The 27,618-nt window shown below is 48.7% G+C and overlaps 1 long non-coding RNA gene and 2 pseudogenes across 3 annotated transcripts in view, besides 1 other annotated feature; 2 read left to right on the top strand and 1 right to left on the bottom strand.

The window, feature by feature from the left end:
* The window catches only part of SDHAP2 (SDHA pseudogene 2), a 30,833-nt pseudogene extending 15,115 nt beyond the window's left edge, over window positions 1–15,718 (bottom strand). Inside the window, exons 1-9 of the transcript NR_003265.3 lie at window positions 15,592–15,718; window positions 11,916–12,001; window positions 11,024–11,186; window positions 9,990–10,133; window positions 9,507–9,671; window positions 7,543–7,691; window positions 5,116–5,238; window positions 2,457–2,625; window positions 1,078–1,273 (exon numbers count right to left, since the gene is read on the bottom strand). The product of NR_003265.3 is annotated as an SDHA pseudogene 2 (transcript). The remainder of the gene's footprint in view (window positions 1–1,077; window positions 1,274–2,456; window positions 2,626–5,115; window positions 5,239–7,542; window positions 7,692–9,506; window positions 9,672–9,989; window positions 10,134–11,023; window positions 11,187–11,915; window positions 12,002–15,591) is intronic.
* Window positions 15,719–21,597: 5,879 nt separating this feature from the next.
* LOC105374297 (uncharacterized) lies at window positions 21,598–27,122 on the top strand. 2 transcript variants are annotated; one of them, NR_136186.1, is made up of 3 exons: window positions 21,598–21,797; window positions 24,364–24,586; window positions 27,020–27,122. It is a non-coding gene; the product is annotated as an uncharacterized LOC105374297 (long non-coding RNA). The 2 variants fall into 2 exon arrangements; NR_136185.1 differs by having other exon boundaries at window positions 24,340–24,680; window positions 26,973–27,061.
* LOC100288016 (serine/threonine-protein phosphatase 4 regulatory subunit 2-like) lies at window positions 21,892–22,232 on the top strand (annotated as a pseudogene).
* Window positions 26,612–27,112: an enhancer, noted in NCBI's record as "H3K4me1 hESC enhancer chr3:195373516-195374016 (GRCh37/hg19 assembly coordinates)". NCBI's record gives its function as "activates a minimal SCP1, AML or CMV promoter by ChIP-STARR-seq in naive H9 embryonic stem cells {active_cell/tissue: H9 hESC(naive)}" and the evidence as "EXISTENCE:reporter gene assay evidence [ECO:0000049][PMID:30033119]".

The following is a 27,618-nucleotide window of genomic DNA, read 5'->3' as shown; positions in this document are numbered from 1 at the left end:
CCTCAACAGGGTGTCTGTGCTGCAGGTCAGAGAAAGAGAGGGAAGTAGGTCGGGCATGCAGTGGCTCACGCTTGTAATCCCAGCACTTTGGGAGGCTGAGGCGGGTGGATCACCTGAGTTCAGGGGTTCGAGACCTGTCTGGCTAACATGGTGAAACCCCGTCTCAACTAAAAATATAAAAATTAGCCAGGCATGATGGCAGGTGCCTGTAATCCCAGCTACTCGGGAGGCTGAGGCAGAAGAATCGCTTGAACCTGGGAGGCGGAGGTTGCAGTGAGCCGAGATCGCGCCATTGCACTCCAGCCTAAGCGACAGAGCGAGTCTCCATCTCCAAGAAACAAAGAGAGGGAAGTAAAGACCATATCTAAGAAGGAAGTAAGGACCATAGCTACTCTTCTTCAGAAGGAAACTTCCGAATGTATACCCCAGTTTCCCCTCTGCCCCTGAGCACCTGCTGTTACAAGCAGGTCAGAGGGCCTCCAATGTCAGCATCTGCGACTGTCCCCCGTGTCCCATGTTCCCGAGGCCCTCACCACCTGTGCTCCAGCTCAGACCCAGGAGCACGGCAGGTGGAGGAACATCAGCAGGGGAGACTGATGTTCCAGACTCTTCTACCCCCTGTTCACCTCTTCATCTATGCGGGGAAAGTAACAGCTTCCACCCACCTCGCCCAACAAGGAGGCTAAGTGACTGACAAGCTCTGTGTGAACCGCAAACCACTCACAGGTATGAATTATAAAGATCCTTCGATGTACAAGATCATTAGAAATAGGAATTATAAAGATCCCTTGATGTATAAGCTCATTAGAAATAACACAAGATCATATAGGAAAGTAATTATAAAATGGGAAAAGCTGCAAATGATGTATCTATGACAGTTTACTAAGGAGGAATAAATTATTAAGCCTCCTTCCATCCTCCAGTGATAGAAATTTCAAGTGCAATTTAGCAAACAATACAGTACTTTCTGGAAGGAAACATCTGTCTCTTCCTCTAAGATCTAAAGAGACAACTGCGAGATGGGCCCCATTGTCCCAGCCTTCTTTCCAGCTGTGGGAGAGAAGCCAGCACCATCACCTGCCCCTCGTAGCTGGTGGGAATGCCGTCCATGTTATAATGCACGGTGGGGAGGACAGGGATCGGCTCCTTCGTGACGTCCACACCAGCGAAGATCATGGCTGTCTCTGAAATGCCGGGCAAGGGCATGGCCAGCTGCTCTGGAGGTAGGTGGTGCAGCTGCAGGTAGACGTGATCTTTCTCAGGGCCACAGCCTCTGGTAAGACAGAACACCATCACATAAGGCAGAGAATGGCAACGGCAGCAGACCTGAGAATACGTCATCTTGGAAGCGTGTGAGTTTCAACATGTTTTGATACTGAGGAAAATTTCCCCTCATGTACGGCCACCCTCTCATCAAATCTTTTCTAAGCATCTACTGTATGCCAGGGACAATCCCAGGTGCTGGGACACAGCTGAGAACCAGAACAAAAACTCTGCCCTTACTGAACTCACACTCGTCTCAGGGATCACAGCCTGCAGCGGCTGTCCTTGGTAAAAGCATTAGGCCTCTATGCCAAATAGTCGTCCCTGCGTATCCGTGGCAGGTTGGGTCCAGGACCCCCACGGACACCAAAATCCGTGGATGCTCAAGTCCCTAATATAAAATGGCAGAGTATTTGCATATAACCTATGCACATCCTCCTCCATATTTTAAATCATCCTCATTTCAAGTTTTACATTTAAGTTGTACAGCAACTCCAGGATTACTCATAGTACCTAATACAATGTAAATGCTAGGTAAATAGCTGCTACACTGTGTTGCTTAGCGAACAATGACAAGGAAAAAAAAAAGTCTGCGTGTTTGTAAGGATGCAATTTTATTTTCAGTACATAGTTGGTTGAAACCACACATGTGGAACCGATGGATACGGAGGGCCACCATATTACAAGAAACCATCCGACTTCTTTTTTTTTTAATATAAAAATGTAAAACCTCTAAAGGCCACACCAGATACCAGCAGATATTTAGCAAGTGTTATCACATTAAAGAACAGGGTCAGGCAATGAAAGAGCTGCAAACTGTTCTTCTGAAAGGCAAATGACCCACACACTTTGAAAGCTGCCGAAAAACATCTGTGGGTATCAGACACCACACCCAAGGCTCACACGCCGACTTCAGGTTGGGTGCGTGTCTCTCTCTCCCATACTCCGTCACATACTCACACACACTAAGAGAAACTCTGTTCCACAGATTTGAGAAAGAAACTGGCTAAAATTTTCAAAATGTAGGTCTTTAGGAAAATATCGCAGACTAACAGACGCCTGCCGGCAGCTGAGAGAGGTGGCTGTGCACATGTGCCTGCACACGAAGGTGAGGGCGAGCGGTGCTGAAACTCACAGAAGCAACCCCGGCCCGTGTGCCCGCTCAGACAGTGCTGGTGGTAAACCACACGCACCTTCCTTCGCGGATCTCCAGAGTCATCCACCGAGACACCACATCTCTAGACGCCAGGTCCTTCGCGATGGGGGCGTATCGCTCCATAAACCTTTCGCCTTGACTGTTAATGAGAATGCCTCCCTCTCCACGACATCCTTCCGTAATGAGACAACCAGCACCATATGTGCCTGCAAAAAACCACACATTTATAACCTAACAATTGCTAGGTCTCTATTTCAAATGCATTACTTTTTTTTACAAGATATTTTTTGGGGGAGAGACAAAAAAGATATGCAGAAGGCATTATATGCAAAACTGAACAGAAAGAACAGTTAAGATACAGTAGAAAGTCTGGATAACAAAAAGCACTGACAAGGCTGACAGCTGCAGCAGAGGCTGGGGCAGAGTGGCGTCCCCAGAGAGGAGAAAGGCCGGCCCACAGACCTCTGGCCAATACTCTGATTACAGCCCGGTGTACGTTGGATGCCTCAAATTTTGTTTTAATTTTTGAACATTCTTTTGCACTATGATACTGTGGTGACTAGTTAAGAATACTAGCTTGGAGAATTCATATCTAAGTTACCCAAACAGTGGCAAGAACAGTAATAATGATTATTTTAGTTCATCTTTACACTGCACTTGCTATGGGCAGTTCTAGCTGCTTTCCACATATTAAACTCATTTAAGTCTTACAACAACTCTGGGTAGTATGACCCCCTTTCTCAGTGACAAGCAAATTAACGCTTGGTAACATCCAGTCATGCAGCTGAGGACAGAGCTCAAACCCAAACCTGGGCAGTCCGGCGGTCTGTGCCCCAAACAGCGGCTCTGTGACTCCTCAGTGCGATGAGAAACAGGGCGTGCCAAGCTCTCGAATTTTAACAAAGGAGATCAAAAACCCTAAACTAAATGTATTTCAAAAGCTACAATTTTTATTAGTATACAAAAAGGGCAATCTTGCTTTCAAGACAAGAATGTGATTCTTGCATCTCACCTGCCTTTTGATTTTCTAAGTTTCCATGCTCTTTTTTCTGTGGTTACTTCTCACATATTGAAGACAAAGCATGAGAAGTGGAGCTCTAAGCAAATTACAGAGGGAATTCAGGGGCTCACTGACATTTTGCTGATTAAAAACAGTAATAAAAAATACAACAGGCCGGGTGCAGTGGCTCATGGCTATAATGCCAGCACCCTGAGGGGCCGAGGCAGGAGGATCGCCTAAGCCCTGGCGTTTGAGACCAGCCTGGGCTTAAAATGGTGACACCCTGTCTCTACCAAAAACAAAAAAACCCTCAAAAATTAGCTGGGCATGGTAACACATGCCTGTAGTCCCAGCTATTTGGGAGGCTGAGGTGCAAGGATCGTTTGAGCCTGGGAGACAAAGGCTGCAGTGAGTCAAGATTGCTCCACTGCACTCCAGCCTGGGCAACAGAGCAAGACCCCATCTCTAAACAAATTAAAAAAAAAACCTACAACAAATCCATTTCTTATTTTCATCCCTTCCAGGGATCAGAAAGCTGACACTGACAGAGAAAGAGAAGACACAGGTCTGGTTCTTTGGCACCACTTCAGGGGTCTCCATCGTCCACAGGTCAGAAAAGCAACCCAGAAAAGTCCAGGACGAGTCACCTCAAACAAGAGGCAGACGTGTGTGTGTCTGTCTCTGACTCATTTTGAAGAACCTCCTCCAAACTCAAGACTTCAACTGTCATTTCTGAGTTAATGTCTCCAAATTGCACATTCGTAACCTCAACCGTCAGACGTCCCCAAGACGAGCTCATCTTCCCCACGACAAGCTCCCTCAGTGGTCACGTGGGCTGAGCCCAGCGCCCAACGTCACATGGGGTTCTCTCATGGCTGTGTCTTAACTTTACATCCCATTGTCACGGAAGCTCTGTGTTGTCCTACAAAGCTGAAATCTGCCTGTGCTGCTTCTTGGTTCCACGGCATTCACCCAGCTCTCAGAATGCTCACTCAGTAAACCCCGATGGAGACCCTACCATGTGCTGGGCGTGGAGCACCCCAGTTAATGAGAAGACCTGCCTGCCCGAGTTGCTGACAACCTCACTGCAAAGAGGGACACTGAACAATTCCTGCTTTACTTTTTTTTTTTTTTTTTTTGAGACGAAGTCTTACTCTGTTGCCCAGGCTGGAGCGCAGTGGTGCGATCTCGGCTCACTGCAACCTCTGCCTCCCAGGTTCAAGCATTCCTCCCGCCTCAGCCTCCCAAGTAGCTGGGATCACAGGTGCATGCCACCATGCCCAGCTGATTTTTTTATGTTTAGTAGAGATGAGGTTTCACCATGTTGTGCAGGCTGGTCTTGAACTCCTGACCTCAGGTGATCCACCTGCCTTGGCCTCCCAAAGTGCTGGGATTACAGGTGTGAGCCACCATGCCCGGCCTCAATCCCTGCTTTACTGCTGGCATAAGTATCACCAAGGCAGGGTTTAGGGCTCTTGAGAAATGCATAAGATGGTGGCCCAAACTGCCTTAGGGGAAGGGGAGTGTGGGAAAAGTCTCCTTAAGGAAATGACATTGAAGTTAGGACCTGAGAGCTATGGAAGCTGATCTTCAAAACCATGTTATTACATAAAACTATGGAAGAGCAATGAGTAGGCACCACACGCTTACAAGACACACGAGCCGAACGCCTTCCGGGCAAGGCGTCCTGCCCTACCTGTGGGGTGGAACTGAACAAACTCGAGGTCCTGGCAAGGAAGGCCTGCCCTGGTGATCATGGCCGTGCCGTCGCTGGTGCTGGTGTGGGCAGACGTGCAGCTCAAGTAGGTGCGCCCGTAGCCTATGGAAACAACAGAGAGCAGTGACTGCACACAGTGGCCCACGTCCGGACCTCCTGTCTAATGAGATCACAGAACGGACAGGGCAGCCCCCGGGCACCATCTTCTCAGTGCTGTGTGCACACAACCCCCTACTCACGCACACCCCACACACATCACTGGGGGCCACGCCAGTGGTGCTGCTACCCTGCGCAGGTAGGATAGAAGCCTGGGATCAGAGAAGAGACTTCCATTTATATTTTATTTATTTATTTATTTATTTTGAGATAGGGTCTAACTCTTGTCGCCCAGGCTGGAGTACGGTGGCACAATCTCGGCTCACGGCAACCTCTGGCTCCCAAGTTCAAGTGATTCTTCTGCCTCAGCCTCCCAAGTACCTGGGAATACAGGTGTGCACCACCACATCCAATTGATTTTTGTATTTTTAGTAGAGACTGGGTTTCGCCACGTTGGCCACGCTGGTCTTGAACTCCTGACCTCAGGTGATCCACCCACTTCGGCCTCCCAAAGTGCTGGGATTACAGGCATGAGCCACTATGCGTCTGGCCCTATTTGTATTTTAGATTTGTGCTGTTCAAAAGGTTTCCCCAGTAAGCATATACTACTTTTATAATGAAAATTTTAAAATTTTTATGGATTTTGTTTTTTTCCCCCAGATTTACTGAGGTATGATTGATGAATTAAACAAAAAACAATACTGTATATATTTAAGGTGTACAGCGTGATGATTTATTTTGTGAACTGATGACACAATCAACTTAATACACATCTATCACCTCATACAATTATCCTTTTTTTTGGAGATACAGACACCTAAGGTCTACTCTCTTCGCAAATTTCAAGTTATATTAATGATAGCCACCGTACTGTATGATTTTAACTGTAGCCACCATGCTGTATAATGTTAACTCTGGCCACCATGCTCTATAACATTAACTCTAGCCACCATGCTGTTTATCAGACCTTCAGAACTTCACCTTGTGACGGGAAGTTACACCTTTAATCAGCATCGCCACAGTCTGCATTCCCCCAGCCCCTGGCAACCACTGTCCTATTCTGTTTCTGTGAGTTGTGACAGTTTTAGATCCACATATGAGTGACATGCAGTATCTGTCTTTCTGTGCCTGGGTCGTTTCACTTAACATAATGACTTTGGGTTCATCCACGTTGTCACACATGACAGGATTTCCTTCGTTTTCATAGCTGAATAATATTCAGTTGTGTACACACACCACATTGTCATTAAACACCAAAAATTTTTAGGTTGTTTCCATATCTCGGGTATTGTGAATAACGCTGCAATGAACATGGGGGTCCAGGTGTCTCTTTGAGCTTCTGATTTCATGCCCTTTGGATATACACCCAGAAATGAGGTTGCTGGAGCACATGGTAGTCCTGTGACTTTTGAGGAACCTCCAGAGTTTTCCACAATAGTTGTACTAATTTACATTCCCACCAACAGCACACAGGGTTCCCTTTTCTCCACATCCTCATCAACACTCACTATCTTTTGTCCTCTTGGTAACAGCCATTCTAACTGGAGCGAGATGAGATGATACTCATTGGGGTTTTAATTTGCATTTCTCTGGTGCTTGGTGATGTTGAGCATTTTTTCATACATCAACTGGCCATTTGTATGTCTTCTCTGGAAAAATATCTATTCAAGTCCTTTGCCCATTTTTAGTAGGGTTGTTTTTTAGTAGGGTTTAGTAGGTTGGTTTTAGTAGGGCTTTTTTTTATTTTTTATTTTTTTTTGCTATTTTAGATACTAAGATATCATTAGATATATGGTTTGGAAAATATTTTTTCCCACCCTGTAGTTTTGCTGATTTTTTTTCTTGGCTGTACTGACACTTCTTAACTTTTAAAGTGGCTAAAGTAACTGCCACTGTATAAAATTAAAGTTTTTTATTTTCATTATGTGGAGAAGACAGACTTATCTATCCCAGGAATCAGTATAAACATAGAACCCACTAAAACAAGAGGGATTTTGCCAGAAAACCCCATGTGACTCTTCGGGCCACAGTTTCCTCATCTAAAATCGGGAGAGGTACGCTGTGAACCTGACGGCAGCCACTACCGACTAATGAGGGCCATGCTTTCTCACCCCGAGGCAGGTGCTGCTGTCCTCACCCTTTACAGGTGAGGAACCATGGCTGGGAAAGGCCATCACCCTCACGTGGTTATATCAAGGCCTGTGTCTGAACTGCTATTCTACAATGCCTCTATTTTCCTTAAAATAAAGAGACTCTAAATGAAATTTATTCATTTTTACAAAGGAAATAAAGTAGAAATTAGATTCCTACCCTGTGGCAACAATAGTATTCTTTGCTCTTATGCGATGGATGGACCCGTCCTGTATGCACAGTGCGAAGACACCACGGCACTCCCCATTCTCCATCAGGAGATCCAAGGCAAAATACTCCACAAAACAGCTGGTATCATATCGCAGAGACTAAAAGAAAGAAAAAAAAAGGGCAAGAAGTGTTAAGCCAACCTTTAAGGTTTTAAGGTGATATCTGCTCATGTGAATAGGTGAAAGAACTTGATCCAAATGGACCAGGTAAATCCAAGGAGATCAGCAACAGTGTCAATGACACTGTCAGAGCCCGAGAGGCATTCCACGCCCAGCAGTACCAACAAGGCAGGTGTGCTAGAGAACGCAGCAGCAACAGCTCCTATGTTGGTGACACATTTCCTACTTCTACACAACCCGAAGAGGCACTCCACACTGTCCGGTGGCCGCATGCAGCTCCACTCGGAGTCTGGTGCCAGAGTGAGATCCGCAGACCATGGGGTCACAGCCCAGATGGGAGCTACTGGCAACACATAACCACTTAATTAATTAAAATAAGTCAAAACGTTCAGCTCTTCAGCTACACCTGCCACATTAGCAACAGCCCCATGTGGCTGGCAGCTACCAAAGCGGACGGTTGCAGACGAGCAGATTCCGGCACCGCAGAAAGGTAGGCGCCGGACAGCGCTGCCCGCCTGGACCTGCCGTTCCCTCAGCCAGCGCAAGTCGCTCTCGTGAGCCTGGGCCAGCTCCCCACATGACAGCTCCTGCTCCGGAAGGAGCCGCCGTCTCCTCCCACCACACACTTGTCGATGCACTCAGCCACAGAGAAGTCACTGGTGTTCTAACAACCTGCACATTACTGATCCGTCCCCATGCATCAGAAAACAACAAAGCTCAGAACATGGATTACTCTGAATCAATACTGTTCAGGATATTGTTTGGTCATGCCAAAGTTGACCCTGATTACCCAGTAACTATTGTCACCTCAAGTCTTTGTCCAGTGATAACAGTTAATATGAAAACAATCCATGGCCGGGTGTGGTGGCTCACACCTGTAATCCCAGCACTTTGGGAGGCCGAGGCAGGTGGACTGCCTGAGCTCAGGAGTTCGGGAGCAGCCTGGGCAACATGGGAAACCCTGTCTCTACTAAAATACAAAACATCAGCAAGGCGTGGCGGCGTGCACCTGTAGTCCCAGCTACTCTGGAGGCTGAGGCAGGAGAATCGCTTGAACCCGGGAGGCAGAGGTTGCAGTGAGCAGAGATCGCGCCACTGCACTCCAGCCTGGGTGAGAGTGAGACTCCGTCTCAAAAACAAAGCAAAACAAAACAAACAAACCAAACCAATCCATTCAGGAACTCAGAGGTGGTAAAAGAGCCTTAAAATACTTGTTCTTTGTCTTTTTTTGAGACAGGTCTCCTGTTGCTCAGGCTGGAGTGCAGTGGTATGAACATGGCTCACTGTCTCAAGTGATCCTCCTGCCTCAGCCTCCTGAGTAACTGGGATTACAAGCATGTACCACCATGCTCAGCTACTTTTTAAACTTTCTGTAGAGACAGGGTCTCACTATGTTCTCCAGACTGGTCTCAAACTTCTGGTCTCAAGTGATCCTCCTGCCTTGGCCTCCTAAAGTGCTGGGATTACAGACGTGGGCCACTGTGCCTGGCCTGCTTGCTCTGTTCTTACATGCTGAGTGTCACATATCCCAAGTGAAAACCTGGTATATAAGATTATCAATTCAACTTCCCAACATAGAGGCAACAACTCACACATTGCCTTAGGGGCAGCTTCTCAAGGCACACGCCTGCTCCTGTCACATCCACAGTCGCTGCATGTGCCCCACACGGCTGTTCTCTGTTGCTTTTTACGCAATCTCTGGCTGACTCACTGGGCACGCTAACCCATTCCCCGCTGTCACCACAAGCCCCAGCACTATGTGTCCTGTCTCAGGTGGACGGGGGGCAGCCTTACCCTCCCATATAAGGTGTGCAATATTGAGTGGCCGGTCCGATCAGCCACACAGCAGCACCGATGGGCCTGCCTGCCCTTTCCAAACTTGAGGCTGTGTCCGCCAAATGCACGCTGATAAATCTTCCCATCTTCAGTTCTGCTAAACGGCATGCCATAATTTTCTACCTGTGAAAGATAAAAACAAACAAAAGCCTTATTACCCTAAAGGAGTCAAGATATTCACAGCTAATCTACACTAAACAACTTTAATACAAATCTGCAAACCCAAATTAACCTATTTTATGAAAATGTCAACACTTCATCAAAGAGAAGTTTTTCTTATTACATGTAATACATAGTTCATGATGGACAAAGACTTCTCTTGTGAGCTTTGCTAATCACCATTCTTTCGGCTGCCACATCTGCCTCAACTGCTTACATTTTTTCCAGGACTCTTGTACTGGAAACAGACCACCAGAGCACCCAGAGCCTCCCGCCCATCACCTCGACCATGGCAGTGGGGGCCTGCTCCGTCACGTAGTGGATGGCATCCTGGTCCCCCAGCCAGTCGGAGCCCTTCACGGTGTCATAGAAATGCCACCTCCAGTTGTCCTCCTCCATGTTCCCCAGAGCAGCATTGATTCCAACCTGGAAACACCAACCACTCCTTACAAGCCACAAACAGGAGCCCCAGCTTTGTCTTCCAGGCCCAAATCCACCCGCTGGGGGATTCAGAGAAAGCCAGCTACTCACATGGTGACTCCCAGTGAGGGCTGACCTCAGCAGAGGAGCAGCCAGGCCTGACAGATTCCAGATCACAACCCCTCCCAGACTCACCCAGTGATTCCATCCCTTAGCCTCAGTCTCCTCATCTGTGTGGTGGAGACAGAGGGAACTCCAGGAAGGGCTGACTGGAGCAGTGAGTGAAAGGCTACCTGTAATATGCTTATTACCTAACGTATCTGGCACAGAAAAGGTACTCCATGAATCTCTCCGCATAATTTTATTAACAAATCTTCCCAACGGCATTTACGGGCATGTGTTAAAGATTAGAAGTGCTTCCTGCCAAGTAATAAACTCCATACTCAGAGTCGCACTCCCCTGTACCCCTACTTCCTTTGGCTGTGTGTGCCCACCACCGTCTTACCCCTCAGAGAGTCCCAGAAGACAGCAGCACCAGGGACAAATGAAACCCTTGCCCTTTTCTTCCCCAACCTAAATTCTGAATCCTCCTCTTTAGATGATCTCCTTTTCTTAAGGTGTTGGGGTGGCAGGGGTGGGTGGGGAGGGTAGATGGTCAGAGAAAACCCAAGTGTGACTGGAGTCTGAATTAAGAGTGACAACAAGGCTCCCGCCCTTCAAAGTCCCCAGGGAAGAGGCTCCAGGGAGAGACCCCTGAATGGGTGAGCTGAGTAAGGCACAGCAAGAGGCCAAGTGGCTGGAGCACAGGGAGGAGGCAGGAGGCTGCCCAGGTAGAAAGTGCGAGGCTGCGCGGGACCTGCACGGAGTGGGAGCACAGTGGGGCACCTTTCTCTTACCTGCGCTGCAACAGTGTGTGACCTGGTAGGAAACAGCTTGGTAACACATGCTGTATCAAACTCTGCCTCGGAAAGGCCAAATGCAGCTCGCAAAGCCTGCCCCTCCAGCGCCTACCACCACTGCATCAAATTCATGATCCACTACTGGATACTGAGCAGAAATCTGGAAAAGAAAAATTCACCTGTCAAGCACAGGTTCCACTATGCCAAACATGAAGACTCTTGTGCCAGTGAAAGAGCTTGACAAAGATAAAAGGAGCAACTGCTGGGCACACAGGGCCTCCATCCTGTCCTGGGGCTGAGCCCTGAACAGTGCAGGGAGAAGTAGGCACATTCGCACCTGGAGAAGGGACTGATAATCAGATTCTATGAATGGTAGAGGGTCTATTCCATGGGATCAGACTGAGGACCACAACTCTACTTCAGGGCCGTGCCTATGCTTATGCCTGAGAAGGTACCAAGGAGCATTCAGTCGCTATTGTGAGCTTATGAGAAAAGAACTTCTCAGCACGTTTCAGTTTTCCAACAGAGAGAGAACAGGCACACTCAATACCAAGGAACCCACACCGGAAGGGCCCCACGGTCCTCTTTTCAGTAGGATTTTATCATCTATCACAGCAGATACTGTTCATTTTAATTTATTGCTTTACTTGACCTAAATTTAAATCTAATTTATAGATACATAACAGATACAAGTAAAAATGTTAACATCTATGTTTATATTGGTACTTGCAATTAAGTATTATTACACTGAAAATAATTTCAGCATGCATTGGATACCTATGAGAAATTTTTCCCTTATGTCTATGACTCATATGAAAACAAACTGGTATAGATCCTTACCCCCAAGCCAAAAAAATCATTTATAATGGAACAAAAAGCATGAACTTACGGAATCTGAAACTTTAGCAGATGCCCTCTCGTTCCTTCAACAGTGAAGTGAACACCTCGGGTTCCTGTTTGCAACACTGTTGGCCACTGGAGACACAGAAGACACAGATCCAGAGGGTTAGTGTCCTGAAGGAACAAATGCTGTGGGGGATAGTAATTCAAACTTCCCCTTGAAAACTGTTCACCTTCTTATGTACCCAGGTGCTCCTGTGCATCCAGAGAGCTCAGCTGGGACCCTCTATTTAACCCTGAAGGGCAGCCCAAGGGGCAAGGAAGGACTGAGCCCCCAGGTCCTCCTTTCCACCCTGACTTGGCACTCTAGAAAACCAGGATGAAGCTTGTTTCCAAAAAGGATACTCACTGACTCAGATACGAGATGAAAAAGACGCACTTCCTCTGGGAAGTCTTCACTTATGCTACTTAGTGGAGGAGGGGAAAGACATCCAGATCGTATTACTGTATGTGGTATTTTGCAAATAATGAAGCATTTTAACCGGCTCCATCAGAGCCCTTTCCACATTACAGTTCCAATCGTCCAGGAGGGCTTGCGGTCAGTTCAAAAGGCACTGGACACCTGAATCAGGAGATCTGTATCCTGGAACAGTAAAGGCTGACAGCCCAGAGGGAAGAGGTGTCATCCCTTCATCACACAGGAGGATGTCGGATGCACACTCTCCCCTGCCTGGTTGATGCTGGCTTTTTCCTGGCCAACGTCTACAACTTGACATATCTCACTGCTTAAATTTTCCATCTTAGAAACCTTTACTCAAGAAAACTGGTTTTAGTGTTTAGTTTTTAGTGGCTCTGTGTGAGAGAGGTCACACTGTCCCATATGCTAAGGTTGGCCAGCCATTTAGGGGATACGTTTTCCATTCTGCTGGCGGCATTTTAGAAGACCACTGAATAGTCTCAGAAATATCATCAAGAATAGTTTTAGGGGCTGGGCGTGGTGGCTCATGCCTGTAATCCCAGCATTTTGGGAGGCCAAGGTGGGCAGATCACCTGAAGTCAGGAGTTCGAGACCAGTCTGGCCAACATGGCAAAACCCCCTCTCTACTAAAAATTAGCTGGTCGTGGTGGCGGGCACCTGTAATCCCAGCTACTTGGGAAGCTGAGGCAGGAGAATCGCTTGAACCCAGGAGGCAGAGGTTGCAGTGAGCCGAGACTGTGCCACTGTACTCCGGCCTGGGCGACAGAGCGAGACAATGTCTCCAAAAAAACAAAAGAAAAAAAAAAGCTTTAGGAAATTATGCACTCAGCAATCAGAAGAGGGGATGTGAGGGATGTCTTCAAGTATTTAGAAATACTTGCAATTCACAAATTACTTATTATGTGGGATAAAAAATTATTCTTCATTTCTCCAATTTCTAGTCTGTTTTTATTGACATAAGCTAATTTAGTTTTTTCTTTTTTCAGAAAATGAGAAAGAACGAATATTCTTCTACCTTAGTATAATTTTTTACATGGTAAAATCATATTTTAAGAAAGAAGTCTTTGAAATAATTTTAATAAAAACGTTCTTGAAAATTTTGTAAAGTGCCCTATTAACATAGGTAATAGCACCAATAAAAACAGTACATTATACCAAATGTAAGTAGAAACAGTGAGATCACTAAATGTTTATTCGTTCTTTCTAGGATGTTGATGTGGAATACACACTGCCCACTCCCCACCACACACACACACAGCTGCCTTAAAAGGGGCAGCTACTATAACACAATCTTGAACAAATCATCACGCCATCCCCCTGGGGAAAAGGACACTAACCCTCTGCATCTAAATCTCATCTGGGGCAGATTTTTGAATCTGGAAAGCCCAACTTCAAGCCAATGTCAGTCTTTAGATAAAACTCAAAACTACTTTTGACACAAAACTAGTCTTTTGTGCCAATTATTAATTTTTTAGGAGAAACTATCAAACATTTCCTCTAAGAAAAAACATGGGGAACATATAACTAAAAGGAATACTTAGACCTTGCTTAACAATACAGAATTTCAGATGACTGAATCAGGAGGTGGAGGGGGAAAAGTAACAAGTGCAGAGACATTCATATCCGAAATCTAGCAAAGTAAGGGGTCCTCATCGAATAAAATGCACCTATAAATCATGAGCAAGAAACGAATCTGCATGTACAGCCTACACAATCACAAAAGCAGCCAACGAAGAACCCAAAAACGCACGACTTTCTGTAGGAAAAGCTACCTTCATCAAGATAAAAAGACTTTTACAAAACCCAAGACTAAATTTTGGTTCCATTTTGCTATCTTGCCATCTGGTCTGAGGTGCCTGGGGCCTTAGTCTGCAGAAGGAACACTGGGCACCATCTGGGTTGGGGACAAAGGCACTGGCTCTATCTAGCTTCTCTCCAACCACAAGCTACCATTGCCCCTAAAAAGTCCCACTGACCATGGGCTTCACCTCCTGCTTGTGGACGCCCTCCCAGCAGCTCCTAAGAGCCCAAGATGCGGCGGGGGTCTCTGCTCAGTCAGCACCAACCACAGCAACACGCTAGAACGGTTTACACGCTTTCCGATGTTGACAGGATGGCTGTATGACTAATCCTCACATTTAATTCAAAGAGATTTTCAATAACTATTTCAAAAAGGAGAAAATTGCACAATCACAGGCATAATTCAAATCAATATTGCTGAATGCCTTGGTTCCTCTATTGAGATTTTTACTCTGCAATTTAAAATTACTTTGTAATTAAGAGGTGGGTGGCTAAGTTCATTTAAAAGAACCAAACAACTAAACCTATCCAATTTCGCTTGATTAAATGAAATCCTAGAAGGCCGATTCTGAAGATGCAATCGTAGAGGGCACATTCAGACACTCAGAGAGCAAGGGCTCAGGGAAGTATAACCCTGACCATCATCCTGGACTAAGCCGAGCCCGGCCCTCGAGGTACTCAGCGCACAGGCAAGCACAGGTCCTGGAGTCCTCGCTCGGTCAGTGCCCTGAGCTCTCCGTCTGATTTTTAAAAACTGGCACAGCTGCTTTTAAACACCGGCACATTTTTGTGGCACAAGGGCCACCAAACGGGACCCAAAGTACAGGTCCTTAACTTCCAAGATCCCGAAGTGGACATGCACAGATTTGCGCTCTCTGGAAAGGGGAACTGCAAGCCCAAGCTCGGGCGCGCCGCGCTTCCCACCGGACACCCACCCGGCCGAGCCCGGCCACTCCTCGCACCCACCCAGGCGGTTTCACCCGCCCCGCCGGCCCCACCCACGGGCTGCGGGCGGCCCCGCAGGACAACCCTCACAGAGGGCGGCAGAGGCCCGGCCCAGCCAGGACTCCACCCCGGTGACCTTGGGCAGACACGACTCCTCCCCGAGTCCACCCGCCAGGCAGAGGCGAGGGGCTACCTCAGCCCGCGAGGTCGCCGGACCCCAGGCCCGGACCAAAGCGGCGGAGGGGACGCCCAGCAAGCCCGCGGGGTCGCGACCTTCACCGGGACGCGGCCTACCTGCTAAGGACCGAGCTCCCCAGGCCCCCGAGTACACTCCGCGGCTCCCCCTCGCACCGGCCCAGGGCTCTCCCAGCCCCTTCCCGATCCCCGGGCAGGGGGCGCGGGCACCCGGCGCCCGCTCCGCTCGGACCCGCTGGGGACCGTCCCGCTCCTACCGCCGCCTCGCCCCCCGCCTGCCCTGCCCCGGTCCGCGGCAGGGACTCACCGCCTTGGCCAGCGCCAGCGCCAAGCGCCGAGCGCTTGGCAACCGCGACAGGCCCCGGACCCCCGACACGTCTGTAGTCGCCGCCGCGCAGTCCCGCCAGTCCCTGCGCAGACTGCGCCTGCGCACCACGGCCGGGTCAAGGCGGGGCGCTAGTGGGGGACATCGCGCCTGCGCACCACGACACGCCCGGGCAGGGGTCTAATGGGCGGGGACGCCGCGCCTGCGCAAAGCGGACCCGCGGACGGTGGCGCTGGGTGGCCACGGAGGTCCCGCGCTCCCCGACCGAGATAGGGCGGGCCCTATTTCGGGGAGATGTTGGGCACCAACATTTTTTAAAGCCCCGTGGGTGGTTCTCCGGGATCTCCCAGACCGAGAGGGCCTGAACGTCCAGACCTCAGGGAATGGGGTCGAAGGGGCGGCGCTCGTCCGCGGAGGTGGGCGGGAGCGGCCCGGGGCCTCCGGCCTCTAGAGAGCGGGAGTGACCCTCGGTTTCTGGCCTCCGAGGGGCGGGAGCGATCCTCAGCCATGTCCCTAGTGTCTGGCTTCCGGCTGATTTTTAAATTTTTGGTAGAGGCGGGATCTTGCTCTGTTGCCCAGGCTGGTCTCGAACTTGTGGCCTCAAGCGATCCTACCTCCTCGGCCTCCCCAAGTGCGGAGATTACAGACAGAGCCACTGCGCACGGCCGTGGTCAGCTTTGAAAGCTGGGTAGATCCCTTTGGCTCATACGCCTTTCTGCTAGCTTACCCTGATTCTGCTTCTGGTTCAGATAGTATTTTAATATTTCTAGTGTGTCTTTTTCTAAGATATCTGAAATCTTTTTGTGGAATGAAGTGGCATGAAAAATAAACCAATAATCATTAGTAAGTATGTTTCCTGTCTTTTCACTTTATTAAAATCTTCGTCTTGTGCATCATGTTTAACAATTTTATTTTAGTAAATTTGCAAGGGTTCAGTCCCATTTTACTGATATTTGGGTTGTTTCCCATTTTTGCTCTTAATAACACCATACAGAACATATTTGTGACCATAACTTTCTCTTTAGGATTATTTTTTTAGATGTATGCCCCAGACGTGACCTTTATTGGCTTGCAGGGAATGAACATCATACCTCCTAGACTTATTTTTTTAAAGTTACGCTGTTTTAGTCCTGGGTTAGTTACCTAATTTTGTTTGGTTTGAGACGGAGTTTCGCTCTTGTTGCCCAGGCTGGAGTGGAATGGCGGGATCTCGGCTCACCGCAACCTCTGCCTCCAGGGTTCAAGAGATTCTCCCGCGGAGCTTACAGTGAGCGGAGATGGCGCCACTTCACTCCAGCCTGGGCAACAGAGCAAGACTATATTGCTTTAATTTACTCTGCCGGCTATCTGGAGAGATGCAACCTCATCAGCAGAAATTATTTCCACCCTGCTGCTTTTTAAATGTTATTTCCTATAGCCAGGTACTGAGCCCTTCAATTGAGGTCTAAACCCTCCACCCTCTCCCTCCGGGATTGCCAAGCCTGTGGTTTCAGTTCCATGCTCCCAGGTAGATTGTGTCAACTCAAAGTCAATGCGCTTATGAAATACTTTTTGTGGTTTTTTTCTTAATTTTAAGAGGTTTTTTTTTAAAATATGTTTTTGTTTCATGGAGGCGACACCCTCTGTCTCTGAGTTGTGGGAGCCTTCCTCCTTCAGTCTGCATGTACTGAAGCCAGTGTTTGCCGTACCAGCCCCTCAGCCGCAGCAGCCCACAGTGAGGTGCAGGTGCTCACGCCATCGCCCCAGAGAGCTCCTCCATTCGCCCCTCCACCCGTAGCCCCTCGAAACCACTGCCCTGCTCCCCGACACGGTACACTGTCTTCTCCAAGATGTCATGTGTTGGCATCCTTTGGCCTGTGCCCACCGAAACTAGCTTCCTTCAACGGGCATGTAGCCTGGGAGACCTGGGGCATTTGGGTGCATCTTTCCACTGCTGGTTGGTGCCCCCTGTGTGGAAGCATCCGCGTTAGTTCACGCCTTCTCCTGCTCCTGCCGACGGACATTTTGTTTTCTTCCAGTTATTGGCAATGAGGAATGAGGCCTAAACACTTGTGTGCAGGTTTGTGTGTGCACGTTTAAGTTTTCCCTTGGGGGACATTTCAGCAGTGGGGTTGCTGGATGACATGGTAAGGATGTGCTTAACTTCGTAAGAAACTCCAGGACCACTTTCCAGCATGGCGGGACCCCTCCCATTCCCACTGCAGCTTATGAGGGTCCCAGTTCCTCTGCATCATCACTAGAACCTGGGTTGGCCCATGGGTTTTGTCTGTTTTTAGCCATTTTAATGGATTTGCAGAGGTACTGCTGACTGGCATTTCTCCAGCATCTCTATGATGTTGAGCCTCTTTCTCGGGCAATATGCCCTCCTTATACCTTCTTTGATGAGGCCTCCGTTCCAATATTGGCCCTCTCTTTAATACTGGGGTTTTTACTTTCTTATGGTTAAGTTTTGATGGTTCTTCATATATCCTGCGTGCCAGTAGGTTGTGAGACGTGTGATTCACAAATGTTTATTTCTAGACCATAGTTCATGTTTCATTCTCTTTGGATTTTTATATTGCTTTATAGAATTATAATTTTAAATTTATGACTAAATTTAATTTGTCAATCTTATGAATCATGCTTTTGGTGTCATGTCTAAGAACTTTTCGCCTAACCCCAGGCCATACGAATTTTCCCCTGTGTTTTTAGCTAAGGGTTTGATAGCGTTATGTTCTCCATTTAGGCCTTTAATAAATGTTGAGGAACATTTTGTGACCGCCATGGCCATACCTTTCTCCATCTCTCACGGTATCGTGGGCATTTGCAGCTCCCAGTGCGCCGTGCTGTTCCCGTCTTCTTGGTCTGCTCCTCCTGTCATACCTTTCTCCGTCTCTCACAGTATCGTGGGCGTTTGCAGCTCCCAGTGCCCCGTGCTGTTCCCGGCTTCTTGGTCCGCTCTTCCTGTGAGTTTCAGGGCACGTCTTAGTGCTGGCACTGTCCTGGTCCATCGGGGGTCCCATGAGCTTCTCCATGTGGGAAGGTTGGGACTGTGATGTTGACGGGATGCCCTGTGAGTCAGGAGGAGGTGCTGACGGGGGTTTCCATGTAGGAGAGAGAGGTGTTTGGTTTTCCGGATGGGGCAGACTTGAGAGGGGACAAACTTGAGAAATGCCACCAATGAGAAGGGCACGCACAGCAGGTCTCGGGGCCGCCCAGCCGTGTGGGAGACAAACGTGGATGTGTCAGTGGCCACGCCAGGAGGTAAACCCTCAACCAAGGGCCTCTGGGTGTCCAAGACCAAGTCTTGCTCAAGAGGTGTGTTCAGCTGAGCCAACCATGGCAGAAATGCATAAGGGAGATCCCACGGTTCCTCTGTTTAAATCCCCTGCTAATCCCACCAGACTCAGAGAAGCAGCCAAGTCCTCACAGCAGCCTGCAACCCCCGCCTGACTCGGCCTCCTCTTGGCTCTGATTCTCTGCACCCTTCTATCCCTGTCTCTTCTTCCATCAGAGAGGAGATCCGGCACGTTTATCCTGGTGGATTCAAACCCATCTTTGCCCCACATATAGTCACCGGAATGAATAGGTATAATCTAGAAAGAGTCCTTTTGAAAAAGAAAAAAGCAGGCCGGGCATGGTGGCTCATGCCTATAACCCTGCAGGGACCAGCCCCACAGGGTCGGTGGGTCTCTCCCTGTGTGCGGCGACGAGAGAGTGTAGAAATAAAGACACAAGACAAAGAGATAAGAGAAAGGGCAGCTGGGCCCGGGGGGCCACTACCACCAATGCGCGGAGAACGGTAGTGCCCCGAATGTCTGGCTGCGCTGTTATTTATTGGATACAAGGCAGAAGGGGCAGGGTAAAGAATGTGAGTCACCTGCAATGATAGGTAAGGTCACGTGGGTCACGTGTCCACTGGACAGGGGGCCCTTCCCTGCCTGGCAGCCGAGGCAGAGAGGGAGAGGAGACAGAGAGAAAGACAGCTTATGCCATTATTTCCGCATATCAGGGACTATTAGTATTTTTACTAATTTACTACTGCTATCTAGAAGGCAGAGCCAGGTGTACAGGATGAAACATGAAGGCGGACTAGGAGCGTGACCACTGAAGCACAGCATCACAGGGAGACGGTTAGGCCTCCGGATAACTGCAGGCGAGCCTGACTGATGTCAGGCCCTCCACAAGAGGTGGAGGAGCAGAGTCTTCTCTAAACTCCCCCGGGGAAAGGGAGACCCCCCCCCCTCCCCGCCCTTTCCCGGTCTGCTAAGTATCGGGTGTTGTTCCTTGACACCTTTTGCTATCCGCCTGGTAACAGGCATCTTCCCAGACGCTGGCATCACCGCTAGACCAAGGAGCCCTCTGGTGGCCCGGTCCGGGCATAACAGAAGGCTCGCACTCTTGTCTTCTGGTCACACCTCACTATGTCCCCTCAGCTCCTATCTCTGTATGGCCTGGTTTTTCCTAGGCTACGATTATAGAGCAAGGATTATCATAATATTGGAATAAAAAGTAATTGCTACAAACTAATGATTAATGATATTCATATATAATCATATCTAAGATCTATATCTGGTATAACTATTCTTGTTTTATATTTTATTATACTGGAACAGCTCGTGTCCTCTGTCTCTTGCCTCGGTGCCTGGGTGGCTTGCCACCCACATAATCCCAGCACTTTGGGAGGCTGAGGTGGGAGAATCACCTGAGGTCAGGAGTTTCAGACCAGCCTGGACAACATGGTGAAACCCCATCTGTAGTAAACATATAAAAATTAGTTGGGCGTGGTGGTGCGTGCCTGTAATCCCAGCCACTTGGGAGGCTGAGGCAGGAGAATCATTTGAACCCAGAAGATGGAGGTTGCAGTGAGCTGAGATCGCGCCACTGCACTCCAGCCTGGGTGGCAGAGTGATATTGTCTCAAAAACATAGTAATAGGAATAATAAAGGAAAAGTGCAAAAATTCAAACAACTTAACAGAAACTGGGCAAAAGAGCTGAACCGGCCCTCCACAGAAGAGGAAATGTGGAGGAATGGCTAATGAAAACATGAAGAGGGGCTCAGCCTAACAGGGGGAGATATCACGTGACAACCACCAGACGGGCAAAAATCCCACAACCCAATCCATGCCAGCGTTGGGGAGAATGGAGAGAAGCAGGAACACCAGGCACTGCTAACGCTTGTGAAGTATATTTCTGCTATGCTTGTATATGAAAGTGTGTGTGTTGTGGGTTATGAGGAAAATTACATTTTTACCTGGGATGAAATTTTAAAATTTGAAAGCTACTGACCAGAAGAAACTTGCGCTTGTGTACAAAAGAAATGCCCAAGAACGTTCCCAACAAAACACAGTCCTAAGGGCCCCAACCTGGCCAAACACTCATCCACGGGAAGATGAAGACATTTCCCATGCTCCCCTCAGACGACGGGAGACCATGCAGCAATGAAAATGAGCCATGTCAGTGTGGGTGGGTCTCAGGGAGAGAATGGAGGACAAAAATAGACACAGAGCAGGTGCTCAGAGCCATGCAGTGCAGGAGCAGCCACGCAGGAGAATTCCCTCACGTCAAAGTTCAAAACTACAGCCGAGGCAACAGAGCAAGACCCTGCCTCAAAAAGAAAACAGAAAGTTCAAAAACTAAATGGCATATCTTTTAGGGATGTACACACACGGTGAAAGAAACATACTATGAAGGAAAGTGTGCAAATAATAAAGACTAAAGCAGGAAGTGATTCCCTCCGTAGGAGAAGGGAAGGGACTGGGACTCAGGCAGGGCCTCCAGGGAGCATCCAAAGCTATGTCTCTTCAGATTCTACTCCCTAAACTTGGTGGAGGTCCTCTGTGTCCAATGTGTCAATATTCTTTATACCTTACCCATACTGTAAAAACGCTTTATTTCTATTCAATATTTAGAAGACAGTTATAAACAAGATGCATTCAATAGCATGGTGGCAGATGAACATCAGGAAGGAACATCCATGAGCTTCCATCCACGGAACCTCACCATGGATACGCTTGTGATCAAGGGCCTGGTCTCCCCTCAAGACACGGTCACAGATCAGAGGCCACACCATCCTAGCAGTGGAGCAGGACCAGCTGGGACAGGGTCCTTCTGTGACACCTGCTGCATCACCAGGCTGGGTGAACGGACACAATTGCCAGAACTCACAGAATAGAAGTATCAGCACCGAAACCTCACAGGAAAAATGGTAAGTTCTAAGTTTCTCCATTAATAGTAACTCTCAGATTAATCTCTGTCATCCATCGCTTCTCCAAGAAATGACTTTTTAGGGTGATGTGCCAGGCGCCATGTTGGAGGGCTGGTGGTAGCGGCTTGGGGAGGTGCTCACTCTGTCGGTCTCACTCTCTCACACGCTTCCCCGGCTCCCTTCGTTCCCCCCCACCCCACTTGGCCTGCGTGCTGGAGGGTGTGCGAGGGAGTGGGAGGACGTCGGGGGGTGGGGGGAGGCGTTCCGGTCCCCAAGAGACCCGCGGAGGGAGGCGGAGGCTGTGAGGGACTCCGGGAAGCCATGGACGTCGACAGGCTCCAGGAGGCGCTGGAAGATTTTGAGAAGAGGCAAAAAAGAAAGTCTGTCCTGTCCTGGATCAGTTCCTTTTGTCATGTAGCCAAGACTGGAGAAACAGATTCCGTGGTCCCAATTTAAAGGCTATTTTATTTTCAAACTGGAGAAAGTGATGGATGATTTCAGAACTTCAGCTCCTGCGCCAAGAGGTCCTCCCAACCCTAATGTCGAATATATTCCCTGTGATGAAACAAAGGGAAGAATACTGAAAAACTGTCACTGGATTTAACCGTATCCCTTTTACTATTCAGCGATTATGTGAATTGTTAACAGATCCGAGGAGAAACTATACAGGAACAGACAAATTTCTCAGAGGAGTAGAAAAGAACGTGATGGTTGTTAGCTGTGTTTATCCTTCTTCAGAGAAAAACAATTCCAATAGTTTAAATCGAATGAATGGTGTGATGTTTCCTGGAAATGCACCAAGCTATACTGAGAGGTCTAATATAAATGGGCCTGGGACACCCAGGCCACGTAATCGACCAAAGGTTTCTCTGTCAGCCCCCATGACAACAAATGGGTGGCCTGAGAGCACAGACAGCAAAGAGGCAAATTTGCAGCAAAATGAAGAGAAAACTCAGTGACTCTTCGACATCTGAATCAGAAGTTTCCTCAGTGAGCCCTTTGAGAAATAAACATCCAGATGAAGATGCTGTGGAAGCTGAGGGGCATGAGGTAAAAAGACTCAGGTTTGACAAAAAAGGCGAAGTCGGAGAAATAGCCAGTCAAGCGACTTGCAGCGAAATTTCTTCAGTTATGGTAGAAGAAACAGAAGCATCACCTTCATCTCATGATAAAGACAAAAAAAGCCATGGTACCCGGCAGCGCGTTCAGAAGAAGATGAAGATGAAGAGGAAGAAGAAGGGATTGAGAGACCATCTGTAAAAGGGAGGAGTAAGGAGATCCTCAAATTCTTGCATTCATTGTTTTTGTGAAAGAATTGTACATCATGGAACTCCTTGTAATGTCGACGCTGGGCTTTTCTCCCACCTGTATGCAGTTGCTGCTGAATTTCAGGGGATGTGATTTGAACTACAGAACATCAGAATTCACGAAACTTAACTGTGGAGGTATTTTGAATATAAAATTTAAGTACAACAACATTTGCTTATTTTTAGAGTCTTTTATGACATCAAGAGAAATGGTCCCAGAAAGAAAAAACCAAGAAAAAGAATCTGATGATGCCTCAACTGTGAATGAAGAGACTTCTGAGGAAAATAATGAAATGGAGGAATCTGATGTGTCTCAAGCTGAGAAAGATTTACTACATTCTGAAGGTAGTGAAAACGAAGGCCCTGAAAGTAGTGGTTCTTCTGACTGCCGTGAAACAGAAGAATTAGTAGGATCCAATTCCAGTAAAACTGGAGAGATTCTTTCAGAATCATCCATGGATAATGATGACGAAGCCACAGAAGTCACCGATGAACCACTGGAACAAGACTATTTAGAAACATTTACATGCAGTATTTTACACACAGTTCTGGTTTTAACACTGTATAAAACTTTTATGTAAAAAAGTGCACCTTTAGTTTTATAAGAAAAGCAGGTTGTAAAATAAAGTACTTTATGGATAATTCCTGAAAGAGTTGTCCATGTAAGAACTGTGAATATCAGCTCCTCTGGGTCCTGCTTACCTTACCGCTGATTTCTTTTTCTTTCTTTCTTTCTTTCTTTCTTTCTTTCTTTCTTTCTTTCTTTCTTTCTTTCTTTCTTTCTTTCTTTTCTTTCTTTCTTTCTTTCTTTGGTCTGGGCAAATCAGTGGTTTGTGTATAGATTTTTTTTTTTAATTTAGGATTAAAGTTTTTAAACTGGAAAGTAATTATAATTTTGAACAGTTTTTTGAGATTATCACATTTAGTTTATACATATGCAAGAAGCTTTTTGTCTTGTGTCTTTCTGATAGCTCCAGCAGTTTTCATATTTTGGTCATAGTTTCAACATTTTAACATGTGAATAATAGAGTTTCATGCTGGTTTCCAGATTTTATTGTTCGGATACATACAATAGAACCTTAAGTTTTATATATATATATATATATATATATATATATATATATATATATATATATATATTCTAAGGGGGAAAATGTTATATTTTTCTGTTTGTATAAGAGATAAATACAGTGGATACTTTTTCTATTGGTAATGACTGAGTTCACCTCTTTCAGAAGACATTTTCTTTCTCTTCTGAGTAACTGAAATAAAATCTGGCCTCTGTGAAACCCTGGAAATACCACGACCCTCAACTAGAAACACCAATACCAGCTCCTCCGCGAGTTTCCAGCTCCACAACCTAAGACATCAGAGGCAGCATTGGTTCCTCACGTAGAGTCCAGCTCCGGGACCCTCATATTTGAACCGCAGGGCCATCTCATCCCTGGATCTCCAGCTGCACCACACTCAAATTAGAACAACATCAGTTCCTCCCCAGGTCTCCACCTGCACAGCCCTCGAAAGGGAATGTCAGCTCCTCCCCGGGTCTCCAGCTGTAGGGCCCTAAAACTAGAACATCAGCTCCCGCCTGGGTCGCCAGCAGCACCACCCTCAAACTGGAACATCAGATCCCCACGGGTCTCCAGCTGCAGGGCCCTCAAACTGGAACATCAGCTCCCCACCAGATCTCCAGCTGCACGGACCTCAAACTGGAACATCAGCTCCCCGCCGGGTCTCCAGCTGCACTGCCTGCAAACTGGAACATGAGCTCCCTGCCCGGTCTCCAGCTGCATGGCCCTCAAACTGGAACATCAGCTCCCCACCAGATTGCCAGCTGCACGGCCCTCAAACTGGAATATCAGCTCCACCCCGGGGCTCCAGGTGCACAGCCCTCAACCTGCAACATCAGCTCCCCACTGGGTCTCCAGATGAATGGCCCTCAACCTGCAACATCAGCTCCCCACCGGGTCTCCAGATGCATGGCCCTCAAACTGGAACATCAGCTCCCCACCGGGTCTCCAGCTGCATGGCCTTAAACTGGAACATCAGCTCCGAGACCCTCAAACAGGAACATCAGCTCCCCACAGGGTCTCCAGCTGCACAGCCCTCAAATTGCAACATCACTTCCCCCCTGCATGTCCAGCTGCACCGCCTCAAACTGCAACATCAGCTCCCCGCTGGGTCTCCAGCAGCATGGCCCTCAACCTGGAACATCAGCTCCCCCCAACCCGGGTCTCCAACTCCACAGCCCTCAACCTGCAACACTGGCTACCAACTGGGTCTCCAGATGCATGGCCCTCAAACTGGAACATCAGCTCCACCCCCGGTATCCAGCTGCACAGCCCTCAAACTGGAACATCAGCTCCCTGCCGGGTCTCCAGGTGCACGGCCCTCAAACTGGAACATCAGCTCCCCACCAGGTCTCCAGCCGCACGGCCCTCATACTGGAACATCAGCTCCCCACCAGATCTCCAGCTGCACAGCTCTCAAACAGGAACATCAGCTCCCCACAGGGTCTCCAGCTGCACGGCTCTCAAACAAGAACATCAGCTCCCCACAGGGTCTCCAGCTGCACGGCCCTCAACCTGCAACACTGGCTCCCCACCGGGTCTCCCGATGCACGGCCCTCAAACTGCAACATCAGTTCCCCCCGGGCATACAGCTGCATGGCCTTAAACTGGAACATCAGCTCCCCGCTAGGTCTCCAGGAGCACGGTCCTCAAACTGGAACATCAGCTCCCTGCCAGGTCACCAGCTGCATGGCCCTCAAACTGGAACATCACCTCCCCGCCAGGTCTCCAGCTGCATGGCCCTCAAATTGCAACATCAGCTCCCATCAGAGCCTCCAGCTGCATGGCCATCAAACTGGAACATCAGCTCCCCCGCGGGTCTCCAGCTGCACAGACCTCAAACTTGAACATCAGCTCCCCGCCGGGTCATCAACTGCATGGCCCTCAAACTGGAACATCAGCTCCACCCCTGGGTCTCCAGTAGCACGGCCCTACAACTGGAACATCAGCTTCCCCCTGGGTCTCCGGCTGCACAGCCCTACAACCGGAACATCAGCTCCCTGCCGGGTCTCCAGCTGCACAGCCCTCAAACTGGAACATCAGCTCCCCGCTGAGTTCAAACTATTCCAGTTTGAGGGCCGTGCAGCTGGAGACCCGGCGGGGAGCTGATGTTCCAGTCTGAGGGCCGTGCAGCTGGAGACCCGCGGGGGAGCCGAACTTCCGGTTTGAGGGCCATGCAGCTGGATACCCGGTGGGGAGCTGAAGTTCCAGTTTGAGGGCCGTGAAGCTGGAGACCCGTTGGGGAGCTGAAGTTCCAGTTTGAGGGCCGTGAAGCTGGAGACCCGGTGGGGAGCTGATGTTCCAGTCTGAGGGCCGTGCAGCTGGAGACCCAGTGGGGAGCTGATGTTCCAGTCTGAGGGCCGTGCAGCTGGAGACCCGGTGGGGAGCTGAACTTCCAGTTTGAGGGCCATGCAGCTGGATACCCGGTGGGGAGCTGAAGTTCCAGTTTGAGGGCCATTCAGCTGAAAGACTTGGGGAGAAGCTGATGTTCCAGTTTGAGGGCCGTGCAGCTGGAGACTCGGGGATAGCCGATGTTGCAGTTTGAGGGCCGTGCAGCTGGAGACCCGGGTGGGAACCGATGTTCCAGTTTGGGAGCCATGCAGCTGGAGGCACTGCGGGGAGCAGATGTTCCAGTTTGATGTTCCTCCCTGGGTCTCCAGGTGCACGGCCATCAAACTGGAACATCAGCTCCCCGGCCCTCAAACCGGAACATCAGCTCCCCGCCGGATCTCCAGCTGCACAGCTGTCAACATCAGCTCCTCCCCGAGTCCTCAGCTGCACGACCCTCAAGTTAGAACATCAGCTTCTCCCCAAGTCTTCAGCTGCGTGACCCTCAATCTAGAACATCAGTTCCTCTACAGGTCTGCAGCTGCAAGACCCTCAATCTAGAACGTCAGCTCCTCCCTGAGTCTCCAGCTGAAACACCCTCAAAACGAACAACATCAGCTCCTCCCTGAGTCTTCAGCTGCACGACGCTCAATCTACAACATCAGCTCCTGTCTGGTTCTCCAGCTGCACGACCCTCAAACTACAACCTCAGCTCTTCCCCGAGTCTTCTGCTGCATGACCCTCAATCTAGAACATAAGCTCCTCTCTCGGTGTCCACCTGTAGGGACCTCAAATTAGAACGTCAGCTCCTCCCAGAGTCTTCAGCTGCATGACCCTCAATCTTTAACATCAGCTCCTCTCCGGGTCTGCAGCTGCATGACCCTAAAAATACACGAGCAGCTCCTCCCTGAATCTTCAGCTGTACGACCCTCAAACTACAACATCAGCTCCTGTCTGCATCTCTAGCTGCAGGGCCCTCAAACTAGAATATCAGCTCCTCCCCGATTTTTCACCTGCATGACCCTCAAACTAGAACATCAGCTCCTGTACAGATTTCCAACTGTAGGGCCCTCAAACTAGAACATCAGCTCCTCCCCAAGTCAGCAGCTGCAAGAC

This window comes from Homo sapiens, chromosome 3, assembly GCF_000001405.40.
Source record: "Homo sapiens chromosome 3, GRCh38.p14 Primary Assembly".
In the NCBI taxonomy this organism is placed as follows: domain Eukaryota; kingdom Metazoa; phylum Chordata; class Mammalia; order Primates; family Hominidae; genus Homo; species Homo sapiens.
This window is presented reverse-complemented; position numbering and strand designations above follow the sequence as displayed.